This window comes from Homo sapiens, chromosome 3 (assembly GCF_000001405.40).
Source record: "Homo sapiens chromosome 3, GRCh38.p14 Primary Assembly".
Classification (NCBI taxonomy): domain Eukaryota; kingdom Metazoa; phylum Chordata; class Mammalia; order Primates; family Hominidae; genus Homo; species Homo sapiens.
Genome location: NC_000003.12, coordinates 71,337,277 through 71,352,748, shown reverse-complemented (window position 1 = coordinate 71,352,748; position 15,472 = coordinate 71,337,277). Strand labels below are relative to the sequence as shown.

The window sequence follows — 15,472 nt, the reverse complement described above, 5'->3', positions numbered from 1 at the left end:
AGAGAAACATTCTAGCTTTTGAAAGGTCTACCCTATAATAGCTACCTTTACTGTCTGTATGCCAGACATGATTCTAAGCCTTTGATATTTATTAACTCATAGTAACTCTGTGAAGTAATCATCATTCTAAAAATTCATTTTACAGGTGAGGAAGCTGAAGAATAGTGAGTTAAATGACTCACCCAGAGCCCTCTGCTTATATGGAGCAAAGTAGGATCTGGACCTAGAAATTCCTTCCCCTCGTAGCCTGTTGTGTTTTTTTTTTTTTTTTTTTTTTTGAGATGGAGTCTCGCTCTGTTGCCCAGGCTGAAGTTGGAGTGCAGTGGTGCAGTCTCGGCTCACTGCAACCTCCACCTCCCTGGTTCCAGCGATTCTCCTGCCTCAGCCTCCCAAGTAGCTGGGACTAAGATGCATGCCACCATGCCTGGCTAATTTTTGTATTTTTGGTAGAGACAGGATTTTGCCATGTTGGCCAGGCTGGTCTCGAACTCCTGACCTCAGGTGATCCACCCCCTTCAGCCTCCCAAAGTGCTGAGATTACAGGCATGAGTGACCACACCCAGCCGTACCCTGGTTCTTAATCACTATGCCATGCAGTCTTCCTCACGCACACATATTCTTGGGGTTATCGACTTGCAGGCATTATTTTGTTTTCACATAAACTTTTCACTCTAGGACTGCATGTGGAGCTGTTATACTTCAATGCTATCTAATAGGCCCTGCTTGATCTTACTAGACTTCTTCAAATGCTTTCTTTTTGCTAACACAAGAGCTATGGGAAATAAAAGTGTGTCGCAATTTGATTAGGAACAAGGACAACCACTTAATTGCCATTCTTCTATCTCCAGTTGGATGTGCCTGTTAAGACATTTTCTCTAGATCTTTGAGTCATTTTTCTCTGGGACATTTTTCTAATTAACCTCATCTCTCTAGCCCTCATTTTACTTCATATTAGCCTCTGACCACCTAATAATTGATTTGTTCTGCTCAATCACCTGTGTGAAAAGTGAGAGGGTCTCCCTCCCAAAGCTTTGGTCCCGTACCTGGGCATTTTCCCAGCAAGCAAGTTCAGAATGTTCTTTTAGTTCTTGGAAACATTCACCTGGAAGGCTTTTTATTTACCAGGGTGAATCTGGGGTACTGAAAGGTAACATTGGCTAACAGAGTAGAAGACCTTTGGTTACTTAGTCAGTAGAATTATAGGTTTATAAGCTGTATGCCAAGGACTTTGACCTTCAAATATTAGTAAAATATTAGGCTTGAAGAAATGTATAAATGCCAGTTTCAAGAGACCACAAATAAGCAATTTTGACTTAAAAGGTTTGAAGTGTTCATATTGCCTTGTTAACACAAAGAGCAGACAGCCCACTTCTAAAGTGTCGGTGCCTTAAAATACTGAGCTCACCATATTTTAGGTCTTGTTGGTTCTGAGTGACCAGCTTAGTCATAAAGGGGAATTAATTGGCTCATAATGTTGAAAAGTCAGATTGTGGAACTAGCTCCAGGGAAATCTGGAGCAGGAGGTTCCGATCATGCCATTAAGTCTTGGTGGCAGTCTTCTGGCTGTGCTGTGCTCCCTGTTGGATTCATTCACGGAGGCGATTCCCTGTTTGTGGCAGGATAACCTTTCATGAGTCTGTTTTTGTAGCAACTCCAGCAGAAAAGATCTTTTCTTAAGAGTTCTAGCAGCTGTCATGGAATCTGGATCTTCCTGCTTCTGTGATTGGTCTGGTGTGTGCCACATGCCTTTCGGTGAAACACTTACTGGAGCTGGAGCAGGAGTGAGTTGGGGGTGGTGGGAGGTCCTGCTTGGCCTAGGATGGGTCATGTGTCCATCTCTAAAGGCATGGATGGCCTTTGACCTACACAAAACAATGGGAAGTAGGTGAAAAGAGTGCTGGTTTCAGAAGGAGACAGAACTCTGGGAAAGTGAACTATGTTTATGTACCACGTCGGGTACTATACTTGATACACAGCAAATACATAGAATTACAGGGTGGAAGGAACCTTTAAATATCATATGGTTCAGCTAACCCACAACTGAATGTCATCTATGGGAGTTTTCCCAGAAAGTTGTCTGCCTAATGCTTGACATCTTCAATGACATTTCCTACCTTGAGAGTGGGCTGTGCCTCAGAAATGCTACCATGCCTCTGTCCTCGAGGAGTCTAGAGTTCATTCATTTCCTGCCTTCCTTCTATTCATTCTTCTCTTCAACCATCCACCTACCATCTGCCACAGTTTGTCGTCCTAAGGCAAGATGCTTGCTTTTAACATACTTACATGTGCAAGGTAGACAGAAAAGTCAGTTATAATATGGTGATAGAGAAGCTACAAGAATACTGGTGTATTGTGCGTTTTGATTGGGGAGGGGATTGGAGAAGGGAGATTGGAGGGCCTCATAGCAGGAATGATGCCTCAGAGGATCAACAGGAGTTGCCAAGTAGCCAAGGGAAAGACGGTCTTTTTGGTGGACTTAGTAGGATTAAACCCTATATTAACATTCAGACTTGCTTTTGAATGACCCAGGAAAATTGGCTTATAAAGTAGCTTAGCCCAGTCAAAATGCATATGTCTTTTAGGTCACATAAAGAATGTAAGTGGTGGGAATAATATCCTGATGATGAAACATTTTTGTACAGGTGAGCCATCTGACATCTTCCAAGTCACCCCCATCTCCTGTTTCTTAATAAATACGTAATAAGTGAATGGATGAAACCTTCTTGGGAAAAACTTCAGTGAGTTAAATTACAGAATTTTAACAACCACTTTCCTAATAATTTTGAAAGGATCGGATATTATTTGTTTATTCATACATTCTTAGGGGCAAAGGAATATTTTGAACCTCAGTTTTCTCATCTGGTACCTGAGGATAAAAATAGTACCTCCTGAAGGGTTAGGGATATAGAGAATAAACATCTGGAGCATGTGAAACACCAAATATGGTTCTATCACCTGGTAAGCCCTCTGTCAATATTACTTGTTATCAAAGGGTATCTATGATTTTTATACCTCATTGGTTGTCAAAAGCTTAACATTTAGTTATGTCCATTTAGCTACTTGATATAAATGTTTTTCCATGTGCCCTGGATGGAATTTTTTTTTTTATTTTTGCATGTTACTTACACCTTAAAAATTAAAGATATTAAAGATGGTGAGATTTAGCAAAAAACTTTAATTTCACATGCTTTTAATGCTTCCCTGAATTAATAATTTTCATGTCCATCATATTTTCTCCTTGGCCCACAATTCATCCCATATTTGGATCTTGGCAAATGATGACTTGGTTAATTAGGCAGTCTGTTAACTCTGATTACTAAGTTATAACAGATCAGTGTAGAAGCATCACTGTGCAATTTGGATTAAAAGGCTCTTCATTTTATCAAAACAAATTTACATTTATGGGTAACTGTTGAAGTGCGTTATGTTAAAATGATGCATTTCATAAGGAAAATTTAAAAAGGATAAAAATTATTTCCTCCTGCTAAGTTATTTTTTTATTGTGGCATTCATCACATTATCTTTCACTAGGAATATACATAAAATCTTGGAATTTTCTTTTAAGGCTTGGAAATTATAGCTGATTTAATACCTTGATTATACAAATATGATGGATGCATTGCATTTTTATTTAAGCATAATTTAGTGTAGTGGCACATGGTTATATTCCAATTCTGACCACAGTGGCCTCTGATGTTGGAGTTACTTATAGAAGTGAAACTTGACTGTGTTGGGGCAGAATTAGTGGGCTACATTAGGCTGGCTTTGTTTTATAGCTGAAGGCATTGATGGTTATTAAATAGACTGCGGCCTCTGTAGTCCGGTCTCTTGTCTAATGGTTCATCATCACTTAAGGGAAGTTGGGGTATCAAAAACTTGCTTGCTTCTTCCATGTTCATCTCTGCCTACCTTCTTTACTTTCTTAGCACACATAACAGTTAGCATTGTGGAAGGTGAACAGACAAACACAGAGTAATTTTCCAGACTTGGTGAATCCTAAAACCTGTGTTAATTACCCCTCAAGATTCTGTCTAGTATCAATAACATTCAAATGATAGCACCTCCCCCTTTACTCCCTCCTCTGCTCGACACACACACCTGCATGTGTGACTTATACACACATGCATATGCGTGTGCACACACATACACACCTGCATGTGTGACTTATACACACATGCATATGCGTGCGCGCGCGCACGCACACACACACACACACACACACACACGCACACACACACACACTGAACACAGCAACTGGCACCTGGGAGGTGTTTAATAGGTATTTGTTGAAGACTAGTGGGTGGAAAAGATGAAACACCAACAGCCTCCCACTCCAAGCTTCTAAGCTGCTCTTAGCCTGGTCCAACATCTGGGACCCTGTTTGATATTACAACTGTTGGAATAAATGGAGTTCATGAATTTAGTATTTATTCTTTCAATAAGCTTACTGAAGTCTGGCCTTTATGAATTGCTGTGTTCTAGTTCTACGGGAAATAGATAAATCAAAGAGAGAAAATACAGTAGTTTCCCCTTATCCATGGTTTCACTTTCTGTGATTTCAGTTACCAGCAGTCAATGATGGTCTGAAAATAAGTGAGTACAGTACAAGAAAATAGTTAGAGAGAGAGAGACCACATTCACATAACTTCTATTACAGTATTGTTAAAATTGTCCTATGTTATTTGTTATCATTAATCTCTTACTGTGCCTAATTTATAAATTAAACTTTTTCATAGGTGTACATGTATAGGAATACACATCATATGTATAGGGTTCAGTACTAATCATGGTTTTGGGCATCCACCGGGGCTCTTGGACTGTATCCCTGTGTATAATGAGGGACAACTCTGTTTTTTTTTTTTGTGAGACAGAGTTTTGCTCTTGTTGCTGAGCCGGAGTTCGGTGGCACGATCTCTGCTCACTGCAACCTCCGCCTCCCATGTTCAAGCGATTCTCTTGCCTCAGCCCTCCGAGTAGCTGGAATTACAGGCATGGGTCACCACGCCTGGCTAATTTTGTATTTTTAGTAGAGACGGGGTTTCTCTATGTTGGTCAGGCTGGTCTCGAACCCCCGACCTCAGGTGATCCACCCACCTCGGCTTCCCAAAGTGCTGGGATTACAGGCATGAACCACCTCCCCCAGCCGACTCTGTTCTTTACATTCAGCAAACTCAGTATCTTGTTGATTGATGATATTGACATGACCCTAGGCCAGAAATAGTAAACCTTAGTTCTTCAGTTTTATTCAGTGCTAGCATGTAGTTTATGCAAAACCAGCTTTTCTAAATCTAGAAGGCTCTGGCTCTGCTGATATTGATGGTAGAGGCAGAAGTTTGTTTAAGTCAGAATGGAAGTGGAGGTTTTTATGAATTTGATTATTTTATCTTAATTAGGAACATTTAATAATAATTATGGGTGACTTTCATTTTGGAGCAGGTATGGCTGGTTGTTCAAAGGTAAAGTGATGTTTTGAGCTGTAATTTGACGGATCTGAATGACAGTCAGCCTGAATAATTCAGCTTCCTACTAGCTTCCCTACCACCCCATTCCTTCTTAAAGAAAGAACCAAATAAGGAATTTTTTAAAACCCAAACCATTCTGGATTCTATTAATTCTTATAGTTACTTTCAAAGGAGCAGTTTGAGAGAAAGATGCGGTCTGGGACATTTATATGTGAGGTAAAGCTTTCAACCCATTAGAACATTAATTTTTTTGAGATGGAGTCTTGCTCTGTTGCCAGGCTGGAGTGCAATGGTGGTGCGATCTTGGCTAACTGCAACCTCCATGTCCCGGGTTCAAGTGATTCTCCTGCCTCAGCCTCCCTGAGGCAGGTGCGTGCCACCACGCCCAGCTAATTTTTGTAATTTTAGTAGAGACGGGTTTCACCATGTTAGCCAGGATAGTCTCTATCTCTTGACCTCATGATCCACCCGCCTCGGCCTCATTAATTTTTTTTAATGGGGCTTTAGTTGCCTAAATAATATGTGTATTATATAAAGTCTTGCTAATAGAGCAAGAGAACCCTCTGGAAAAAAAACTGCCTAAGGAATGAGATAAGAACTGAAGTCTGCTTGGGTTTTCAAGCATCCCTTGAGATGGAAAAGTCTTACCCCGCATCCGTGGTCCTCAAGAAGCCATAAAGGCAACATTAGGAAACTTTCTCGATTAGGTGCTTCCTTAGTGAATAGGTCTGTGGATAGAAGCAAGCAGACTTATTATAAGGTTGGATACTATACTATTACTGTGTGGTTGTATTAATTAAATTTATTCCTTTAAAATAACCTTGGATGAAAACAACCACCTCTTCTGTGGTCATGGTTAGCAGATGTTTACCGTAATTCTTTGCTCAGTGAAAAAAATGCCTCTTCCACCCAACAAAAACAGCCACGTTTGCTTGGCTAAATCAAAACTTTGGCGCTTGGGTCTTACTTTATATATCATGGCTCCAGTCACACAACCTTTCCAAGTGTGAGGCTTAGATCACCAACTCCAACATCTGCAGGAGAGCTTTGCTCACAGTGATCTATTATGTGAGTGCTTAATTCTTAGACTGTTCTTGGCATTCGCCTTCCCTCATTGAAACCAATATCCTATATGCAAGCTGCTCTTTGTTTTTCTTACATAAGCATGCTAGCCCCTCCCAAATTTTTAAAGCTTTCACCTAGACCTATGGCCATTTTTGTGAGGATTTTGATCATAGAAATAAAGTCAAACTTTGCCTTCTCAGTCTGAGAGTTTAGTTTTTCTTCGGCTCTCTCTGAAATACCAAGCCTCTCCTTTCCTTATATTTTGTGCTTGAAAAGCACTTTGTCTCATTGCATATTGGGCCTACTTAACCACCTCACTCCTCTTTTTTTTTTTTTTTTTTTTTTTTTTTACAAAAACTTTATTGATTTCAAACCTATAGCCTATCGGTAGTCCCTGCCCGCACCTGCTGTTCATGGTTCTAATAGGTATTTCAGGACCAGCTCCCCCATCTGCACTGAATTTCTGCACTGAAGAATGCCGCCTGCTCTCAGCAGTGCTGAAAGGAAATACAACAGCAAAACTTTGCTTTTCTTGGGAAGCTCTTCTCTTTGGAATGGAGAACTCTGGGTGGCTCTTCTTATTTTGTTTTCATCGCCAAAATAAGCAGGGATCTTGCATAACACCAGGGTAGGAAAAAAGAAGTAATTTTAAGGGAAACATATGTTCATGTTGAGAAAAAGGCAGTTAGAACTGGACAAGGGATAGTGGCCCACAAAGCTAAAGGCATCTTTTCAATTCAGTTAGGAAACCAGGTTTTGATCTTTTTGGTATATATATGTGTGTGTGTGTGTGTGTGTGTGTGTGTGTGTGTGTGTGTGTGTGTATATATATTTGAGACAGATTCTCTCTCTGTCACTGAGGCTGGAGTTCAGTGGCACAGTCTTGGCTCACTGCAACCTCTGCCTTCTGGGTTCAAGCAATCTTCCTGCCTCAGCCTCCCGAGTAGCTGGGACTACAGGTGTGCACCACCACACCCAGCGAATTTTTGTATTTTTAGTAGAGACATGGTTTCACCATGTTGGCCAGTATGATCTCGATCTCCTGACTTTGAGATCTGCCTGCCTTGGCCTCCCAAAGTGCTGGGATTACAGGCGTGAGCCACCACACCCAGCCTTTTTTGGTATATTTTATAAAATGAAAAATAAGTTGCTTCCCTGTATCCCCAAATATTTTCTTTGATTCAATTACAAATGAATCTTGGGACACCAAGGCTTATAAACTAGTTAGTTGATATATGCAGTATAGAATGTGTCTAGTTCTGTATTTGTTAAATTATTTTCCTATGATCTTAGCACTAAGTAATGTTCCTGGAAATCATTTCATTTAAGATGCCTGCCCTAATCTGAAGTCAGAGCTAAAATGATCCAAATATGATTTTTTTTTTAATTGAGACGGACTCTCGCTCTTTCCCCCAGGCTGGACTGCAATGGCACATCTCAGCTCACTGCAACCTCTGCCAGGTTCAAGCCATTCTCGTGCCTCAGCCTCCCAAGTAGCTGGACTACAGGTGCATGCCACTATGCCTGGCTAATTTTTTTGTATTTTTAGTGCACAGGGGGTTTCGCCATGTTGGTCAGTCTGGTCTCAAACTCCTGACCTCAGGTGATCTGCCCATCTTGACCTCCCAAAGTGCTGGGATTACAGGCGTGAGCCACAGTACCCAGCTTCAAATATGATTCTTATTTGGTCTGATTTTTGGAGAAGAGAAATCCGGGTATTAAAATGGACCAAAGATGTCTACTTTAGCTGTTTGGCTGATTAGTGGACATATTATTTGTCGTTTTAACTGATTCCAAATTATGTCTGTTGATAGAAACAGCAGACACTAGTGTTTCACACTGTTTGTGGGTGGCAAGTTTTGAAAATGCAGCTAATTTGCAAAACGACAGAAGAATAGAAAAAAAGATAGAAAAAAATTCCTTAAGGTTTTCCATTCAACTATTCTCAAAGTATGAACATTTTAGGGTTAGGGGAAACTCTAGCAGAGTTCTTCTTTCCTCATTATAAATTAAATACTCGTATCCCTAAAACGTAGCTGTGAAGGAGGGAAGGTCCTGGAACATTCTTAGTACTGATATGCGTATGCAATGCCACAACCAGAGAGATGGCGGATGTACTCACACAACTGGTTGAGGGCAAGGGCCAACAGGACTGTGGGATAGTGCCCAGATGGGAAGGCCTTGGTTGCGCCTGGAACTGTTTCTATATGTAGTTCTTTGCTGCATGTACAAAAAAATATATCCAAACAGAGATCTATTTAAGACCAATGAAAAAACCCGGCTCTTAAAGAGTCCTGCTTTCCTTAGTGTTGACACCAGTAGGTTTGGAAACTGTGACAGGGTAGATCCAGGCTTGCATTTAATCTGTTTGATTCAGAAAATCTAATTGAACGCCAGGCGTGATGGGCTCAATGCCTGTAATCCCAGCACATTGGGAGGCCAAGGCGGGCAGATCACTTAAGGTCAGGAGTTCGAGAGCAGTCTAGGCTTTGTGAAATCGCATCTCTACAAAAATTAGTCAGGTGTGGTGGTACACACCTGTAGTCTCAGAGGCAGGAGAATTGCTTGAACCCAGGAGGCTGAGGTTGCAGTGAGCCGAGATCACTCCACTGTACTCCAGCCTGGGTGACAAAGTGAGACTACATCTCAAAAAAAAAAAAAAAAAAATCTAATTGAGATTTAAAAACTCATAGTAGGGGGAAAAAAAGAACTTATCTTCCCCGCCCCGTAACCCAACAAAAAAGGACACAAAGCCATTTAAAGTGTAAGATTATTCTTAGATATTGGTGTAAGATCCAGCTATTTTATTTAGTTCAGTCCTTTCTCTCCTAGAGGCCTCAAAGGGCATCGTCAGTAGCACCTGAGTCATTTGACTGTTGGAAACACTAAGTTAAAGAAAAAAAAATCAATGTATGCACATAAGAAGAGGAATTTTGAATTACATTTCCTTTTAGTCCTTAGAGTAGGCTACATTCTGTTGTTTTTCTAGTGTTTTTGTCCTTTGGGATGAAACTATAAATGGTGGCAGATGCCATCTCTATGTTAGTGAGAAGTAGGAAGGACCTCAGGGAAAGTGTCAGAGCAAACTGGAAATCCCAGAAGTTTTGTTTAATAATTATAATCTGGCCATTTGTTCTGTGTGACAGCTACTTTTATAAGCAATATACTAGCACCATCTTACTGAGTTCTTGTAAGTACTATGAAGTAGCTCCTCTTACCACCTTCATGTTACAGGTGAATAAAGTGAGGCTCAGAGAGATTGCCTATTATTAAATTGCCTAGAGTTACAGAAGAAGTAACCCAAACTGAATACAATCTGTCATTTAGTTAACAGTAATATGTCAATGCTAATTTCCTGGTTCTGATACTGTATACAGCTGTACAAGATGTCACCGTTGGGGAAAACTGGATGAAGGGTATATGGGTATTGTACTATTTTTGCAACTTCTTGTGGTCTGTAATTATTTCAAAATTTAAAAAAAGAAAGAGGTAGATTTTAGACTTGGATCAAGGTCTGTTTGCTTTTTTTTTTTTAGACGGAGTCTCTGTCACCCAGGCTGGAGTGCAATGGCGTGATCTCGGCTCACTGCAGCCTCCACCTCCCCGGTTTAAGCAGTTCTCCTGTCTCAGCCTCCTAAGTAGCTGGAACTACAGGAGTCTGCCACCACGACCGGCTAATTTTTGTATTTTTAGTAGAGATGGGGTTTCACCTTGTTGGTCAGGCTGGTCTCGAACTCCTGATCAGGCTGTTCTCGAACTCCTGACCTCAGGTGATCCACCTGCCTCGATCTCTCAAAGTGCTGGGATTACAGGTGTGAGCCACTATGTGCGGCCTGTTTGCTTTTATAATCCAGATTTTTCACTGCTTTGCCTTCTTAGATCATTTGACTAGGAATAATATGGTCTCTGTTCCACTATCTTTATAGGGTTTGAGTTTTCAGGTCTCTCAGACCACATCACATGGTTTCCTATAAGTCCCTTGTGATTTCAGGAATAAAGATTCATCCTTGATTTATGAAATGATTTGTAAAATAGATTGTAATTAATTCCTGATGTGTACATGGAACCTCATGTGGACATCTAGAAAAGAGAATGGCAGTAGTAACCCAAAGATTTAGTAGCTTGCAGCATGTAAATCTGATAAGCGGCAAAAAAGTTAAATTCATAAGACTAGTTATGTAGCAGAAAAAAACATAAGATTCAAATTCAGAAGCCTGTGTTTTAAAGCTGTATTTTTGGCTAACTTGTTATGTGATCTCAGTTTCCTCACTTAGGAAATCATTGAGAAGCGACTCATGCATGTTCTACCACAAGCTTCCATGGATAAATAACTTTGAAACATTCCAGATAATACAACTTCAAACCTTTGTCTTTACTGAGTGAAAATGATTGCTGTAGAAGTCGTTCAGTCTTACGACTGGAGAGTCAAGCTCTAGGATATGTTGGTGGATCTGTTAACCAGTTGATTAAATCCTAGTAATATTTTATTTCAAATCTTTCTTCTTTGTTTTTCTTTTTCTTTTGAGACGGAGTCTCACTCTGTTGCCCAGGCTGGAGTGCAGTGGCACAATCTTAGCTCACAGCAACCTCCGCCTACTGGGTTCAAGTGATTCTCCTGCTTCAGCCTCCCGAGTAGCTGGGATTACAGGCTGGTCGAACTCCTGACCTCAGGTGATCCACCCGCCTCTGCCTCCCAAAGTGCTAGGATTACAGGCATTAGCCACCACGCCTTGCCTCTTCTTTTTAAATATAGGTATTTACAGCTATAAATTTCCCTCTGAGTACTGCTTTATCTGTACCTCATAAGTTTTAGTATGTCTTCATTTTCATTCATCTCAAAGTATTTTCTAATCTCCTTTAATTCGTTGGTTATATAGGAGTGTATAGTTTAATCTCCACTTGTTTATGGATTTCCCACATTTTTTTGTTACTGATTTCTAATTTCATTTCTTTGTAATTGGATAACATACTTTTAAATTTACTGAGCCATGTTTTATGGTTCAGAATATGGTATATCCTGGAGAGTGTCCTTGAGAAGAGTGTATATTCTGTTGTCATTAGGTGGAAGTTGCTATGGATGGATGTCTGGTTGGTTGGTTCCTAGGCCTGGTTGGTTCCTAGTGTTGTTCATGCCTTCTATTTCCTTGCTGATCTTCTGCCTCATTCTGTCCAGGATTGGTAGGTGGAGTATTGAAGTCTCCAGCTATTATTCTGGAGTTGTCTATTTCTCCTGTCAGCTCTGTCAGTTTTGCTTCATATATTTTGGGGTTCTGTTTTTAGGTGAAGATTTTCTCAAAGCAAGCAAAAGAAAACTCTTCTTATGTTACCCACTCTCAGAACTTCATTCAGCTTTAGTGTTTAAGAATTAAAACACTCTCTGAAAAAGTTTAGTTTTATAGTGGCTCCCTGACATTGATGGAGACATTTAGGCCATATTTACACAGGTAAAGAGAGATGAGGGATTGGTGGCTTTATTTAATCAATATATTAATTTTTTTTATTGTGGGCAGCTGGTAGGGTCCAATTGAGGCCAAACCAACATTAACTTCAGTAGCAGATGACTGGGAGCTTTGATTTACCCAGATCATTGTTTCGTCTCCACTATTCACTTACTCTGTGTAGACATGGACTAACTCAATACAAACATGTTCCATGGGAAAAAATATGCTTTTTATTTTTTTTAAGAAATAAGAATAAAATGCAATTTTCTTGTTGCTAAATCTCTGACTCTACAGCCCTTTCTGTGTGGAGGCCACGTGGCAAACTCCAGGTGCATCTGTCATACAGAAATTGCTTTTCCCCCCAAAATACAGAAATGTGAAATAAACCAATTTGGGCACAAGTAGTGTATGCTAGATTTACTTAGTATCTGTCAAACATCTCCATACACTCAATGTATTAGGACAAATCAAAGAGTTATAACTGTCTAGTTTCTGCACAAATACATATATAGTTTCTACTTAGACACTGATGCTACTGATTGATTATTTTTGCTAACAGTGCTATGGCCAAACACTTAATTTGTTCCTTTTCAGCAGTATTGTAAATTTGTTCTAGACATATGTCAGTGGGAAAATAGGGGGGCAGGGGGTTATCTACGCAAGCACCCATGCACACACACAGGTACATACACATATGCATCAAAAGATACTTCCTCACTTAAAGATGTTTAAAAGGGTATTTACTTTGACATGAAATAATTCTTCAGCCTTTTTATTATTGTTAAACATCTTTTGGTGTTTATGAGCAATAAAATAGTTTAGCCACGACTGTATATTCACTATGAATGAAACATGGTTTTTCAGAAGAGATTTTACATGTATGTTAAAGCCATTTTCTTTTCTTGTCATTTATGTGAATGGTCCATAGATTGGATTGCTAGTGGAAGAAGCCATGTGATTCTGTATCTTAACTTTCTCTCAGAGAGGAATTATCGTCTTTGTCATTTTGTTTCAATGTGCTACCTCCCTACCTGCTGGGTTTCCCAACAGCCGTCAGCTAACTATTCTTGTACCATACTGCTACCAGCATTCCTGGTTCACAAATATGAAGTAAACAGAAAATCTTGCTAATTTGAGCCCAGTAGGAACCTTAACGCTGTAATGAGGGACTAATTTTGAAAGCAGAGAGACATCTCTTACAAAATTAGAGCCCAATTTTTTAATGATCTTAAATAACTAATTGAGAGTAAGAATGGTATTTAAGAAAGAGTGAGACACTGATACGCTGAAGAGTTACAACAAGGAGAGGAGACTCCTCCAGGAGCCCTAGTAATTATACAGTCTTCCTTCGTTGCCACCAATGCTAATCTGAGTGTGGGAATGATAATGTACCTTAGAGGACAGGTTTGTGGTTGAAATGCTCTTGATAGATTTTGACAAATTAAACAGTGGTAAAGATGTTTGGAAGTTATCCAGGTCCTTACCATTATTTATGTCAGTGAACTAGAAATCAGTGGTTAATTTGCAGTTCTTATAATTTTTATGATACTTGTGTTGTTGTAAATTTAGCCGTGTGCGGCATCAACTCAGCAGGATACATTTTATGTTGTCAGCTACCTTTTGACATCATAATAGATTTCATTTGCCAAATCTTTCTCGATAGAATAAAATGTAAAAGAGAGCTGAAGAGAATATTTGGATCATATCCAGACACTAGTAAACATATGATGGACTTTCTGAGATCAGAAGGCTCAGATATGGAATAGGGGGAGAAATTAGACCCTGTTAGTGGTTTTCTTTTTCTTCTTTTTCCCCTTAAACCATCCTAGTGTTCTTTGCTAGATAGGCATCTTTTATCTTGACTCAAAGCTAGTGTGTTTCTTAGCGTGTGGTACCTTGCACAATTACCAAAGTATAATTTAGTTACTGCTTTTCCACACCTTTTAACCATTAATGCACCTTTGTTAGTGTCTTCTTTATTGCACTGGATCGCAAGTTCTGTAGTCCTATTTTTTTTCTCATTATGTTTTTATATCCATTATATTATTTTAAAGAAAAATATTGGCCAGGCATAGTGTCTCATGCCTGTAATCCCAGCACTTTGGGAGGCCGAGGCGGGTTCAGGAGTTCGAGACCATCCTGGCTTAATAGGGTGAAACCCCGCCTCTACGAAAAATACAAAAAAATTAGCTGGGCATGGTGGCGGGCCCCTGTAGTCCCAGCTACTTGGGAGGCTGGGGCAGGAGAATGGCATGGACCTGGGAGATGGAGCTTGCAGTGAGCCGAGATTGCCTGGGTGACAGAGTGAGACTCCGTCTCAAAGAAAAAATTTATACTCTCCTGGGATAATTAAAGACTCGGGTTGGAAAGGCATTTTGTAGTTAAGATGTTTTGTTTCTCCATCCTTTTTCTTTAGGTTATTCAAATCCGTCCCTCATAATTATCCACTTTCTATAACACTGACCCTTGTCCTGCTAATAACCGAAGAGGATTAGTGGACACCCCTGCCTTTGTACCTATTTGTTCTCTGAGATTCTTTGTTTTGACCTCTAAGTAATTTCTTTTTAGGCCCTCTGCTCTTTATGTAACACATGTTTTTGCAGATCTCACTTTGATCTGTGTGAACATATAGCCTCCCATTTCTCTTATGTCATTTATCCTGCTTAGAAACATTTTATGAGAGCATAAGCCATGCTTTCATTTTTTCCTTTCGTACACCTCTTTCGAATCTCTTCAGAGGAAATTCCTCCTTAATACTTACTATGAGCTCAGCAGCAGTACAGAGGTATGATGACTGTGACCTAAGGATGTCCAGCCCTGTGAAACGAGCGCTTCCTCGTCCTCCTTGTGTATAACGGAGGTACATATCTTGAGTCCCTTGTTTGGAGTGTCTGTCTGGCATGGATGCTGCTGCTCCACTCTGCCATAGCCTTCTCTGTTCCCAATGTCTAATAAATGTTTAATGATAATTGAAATGATTAGTTATCAATCCATAATGGAGAAGAGCTTATTAACCTTTTCTGATCACAGCTACATTATCCTTGAGATGAAAGTTTTTGCTACCATGTACCAGCAACTGGAAGTCAGATCCATTGGACTGATTGGGGTCCCTGCTGTGTCATGGCATAAAATGGTTTCATATCATTGATCAATCTTCTGGAAGGTATATGCCCTTTGTTATTACTTCAAAGAATAGCCAATATTTCTATATTTGAGATAATATATGTATAGCTATGTAATGTATTTGGGGGCCTGCACTTTCAATATTTTTATAAAGTAGAACAGTTATAGAAAACTACCCACCCACTCCCAACTATACACATGCTCGCGCACAGATCAGTTCTGAACCAGATGTCCTATTTCCATACTGTATAAAAGGTAGCCATTGTCTACTGAGCACTGCAGATGTGGCTAGTATAACTGAGGGACTAAATTTTACCTAATTTTAAATTTCCGTTTTAATAGCCATATGTGGCTACTGTATTAAGTTGCATTCATATATAT

The 15,472-nt window shown here is 39.8% G+C and overlaps 1 protein-coding gene and 1 long non-coding RNA gene across 11 annotated transcripts in view; one reads left to right on the top strand and one right to left on the bottom strand.

Moving 5' to 3' along the window:
• The window catches only part of FOXP1 (forkhead box P1), a 629,271-nt gene that overhangs the window by 231,230 nt on the left and 382,569 nt on the right, over positions 1-15,472 (top strand). The window lies entirely within an intron of this gene.
• LOC124906248 (uncharacterized) lies at positions 1,773-14,819 on the bottom strand. The gene is made up of 4 exons (XR_007095957.1): positions 14,730-14,819; positions 6,111-6,190; positions 2,115-2,250; positions 1,773-1,862 (listed from the first exon to the last, which is right to left on the bottom strand). It is a non-coding gene; the product is annotated as an uncharacterized LOC124906248 (long non-coding RNA).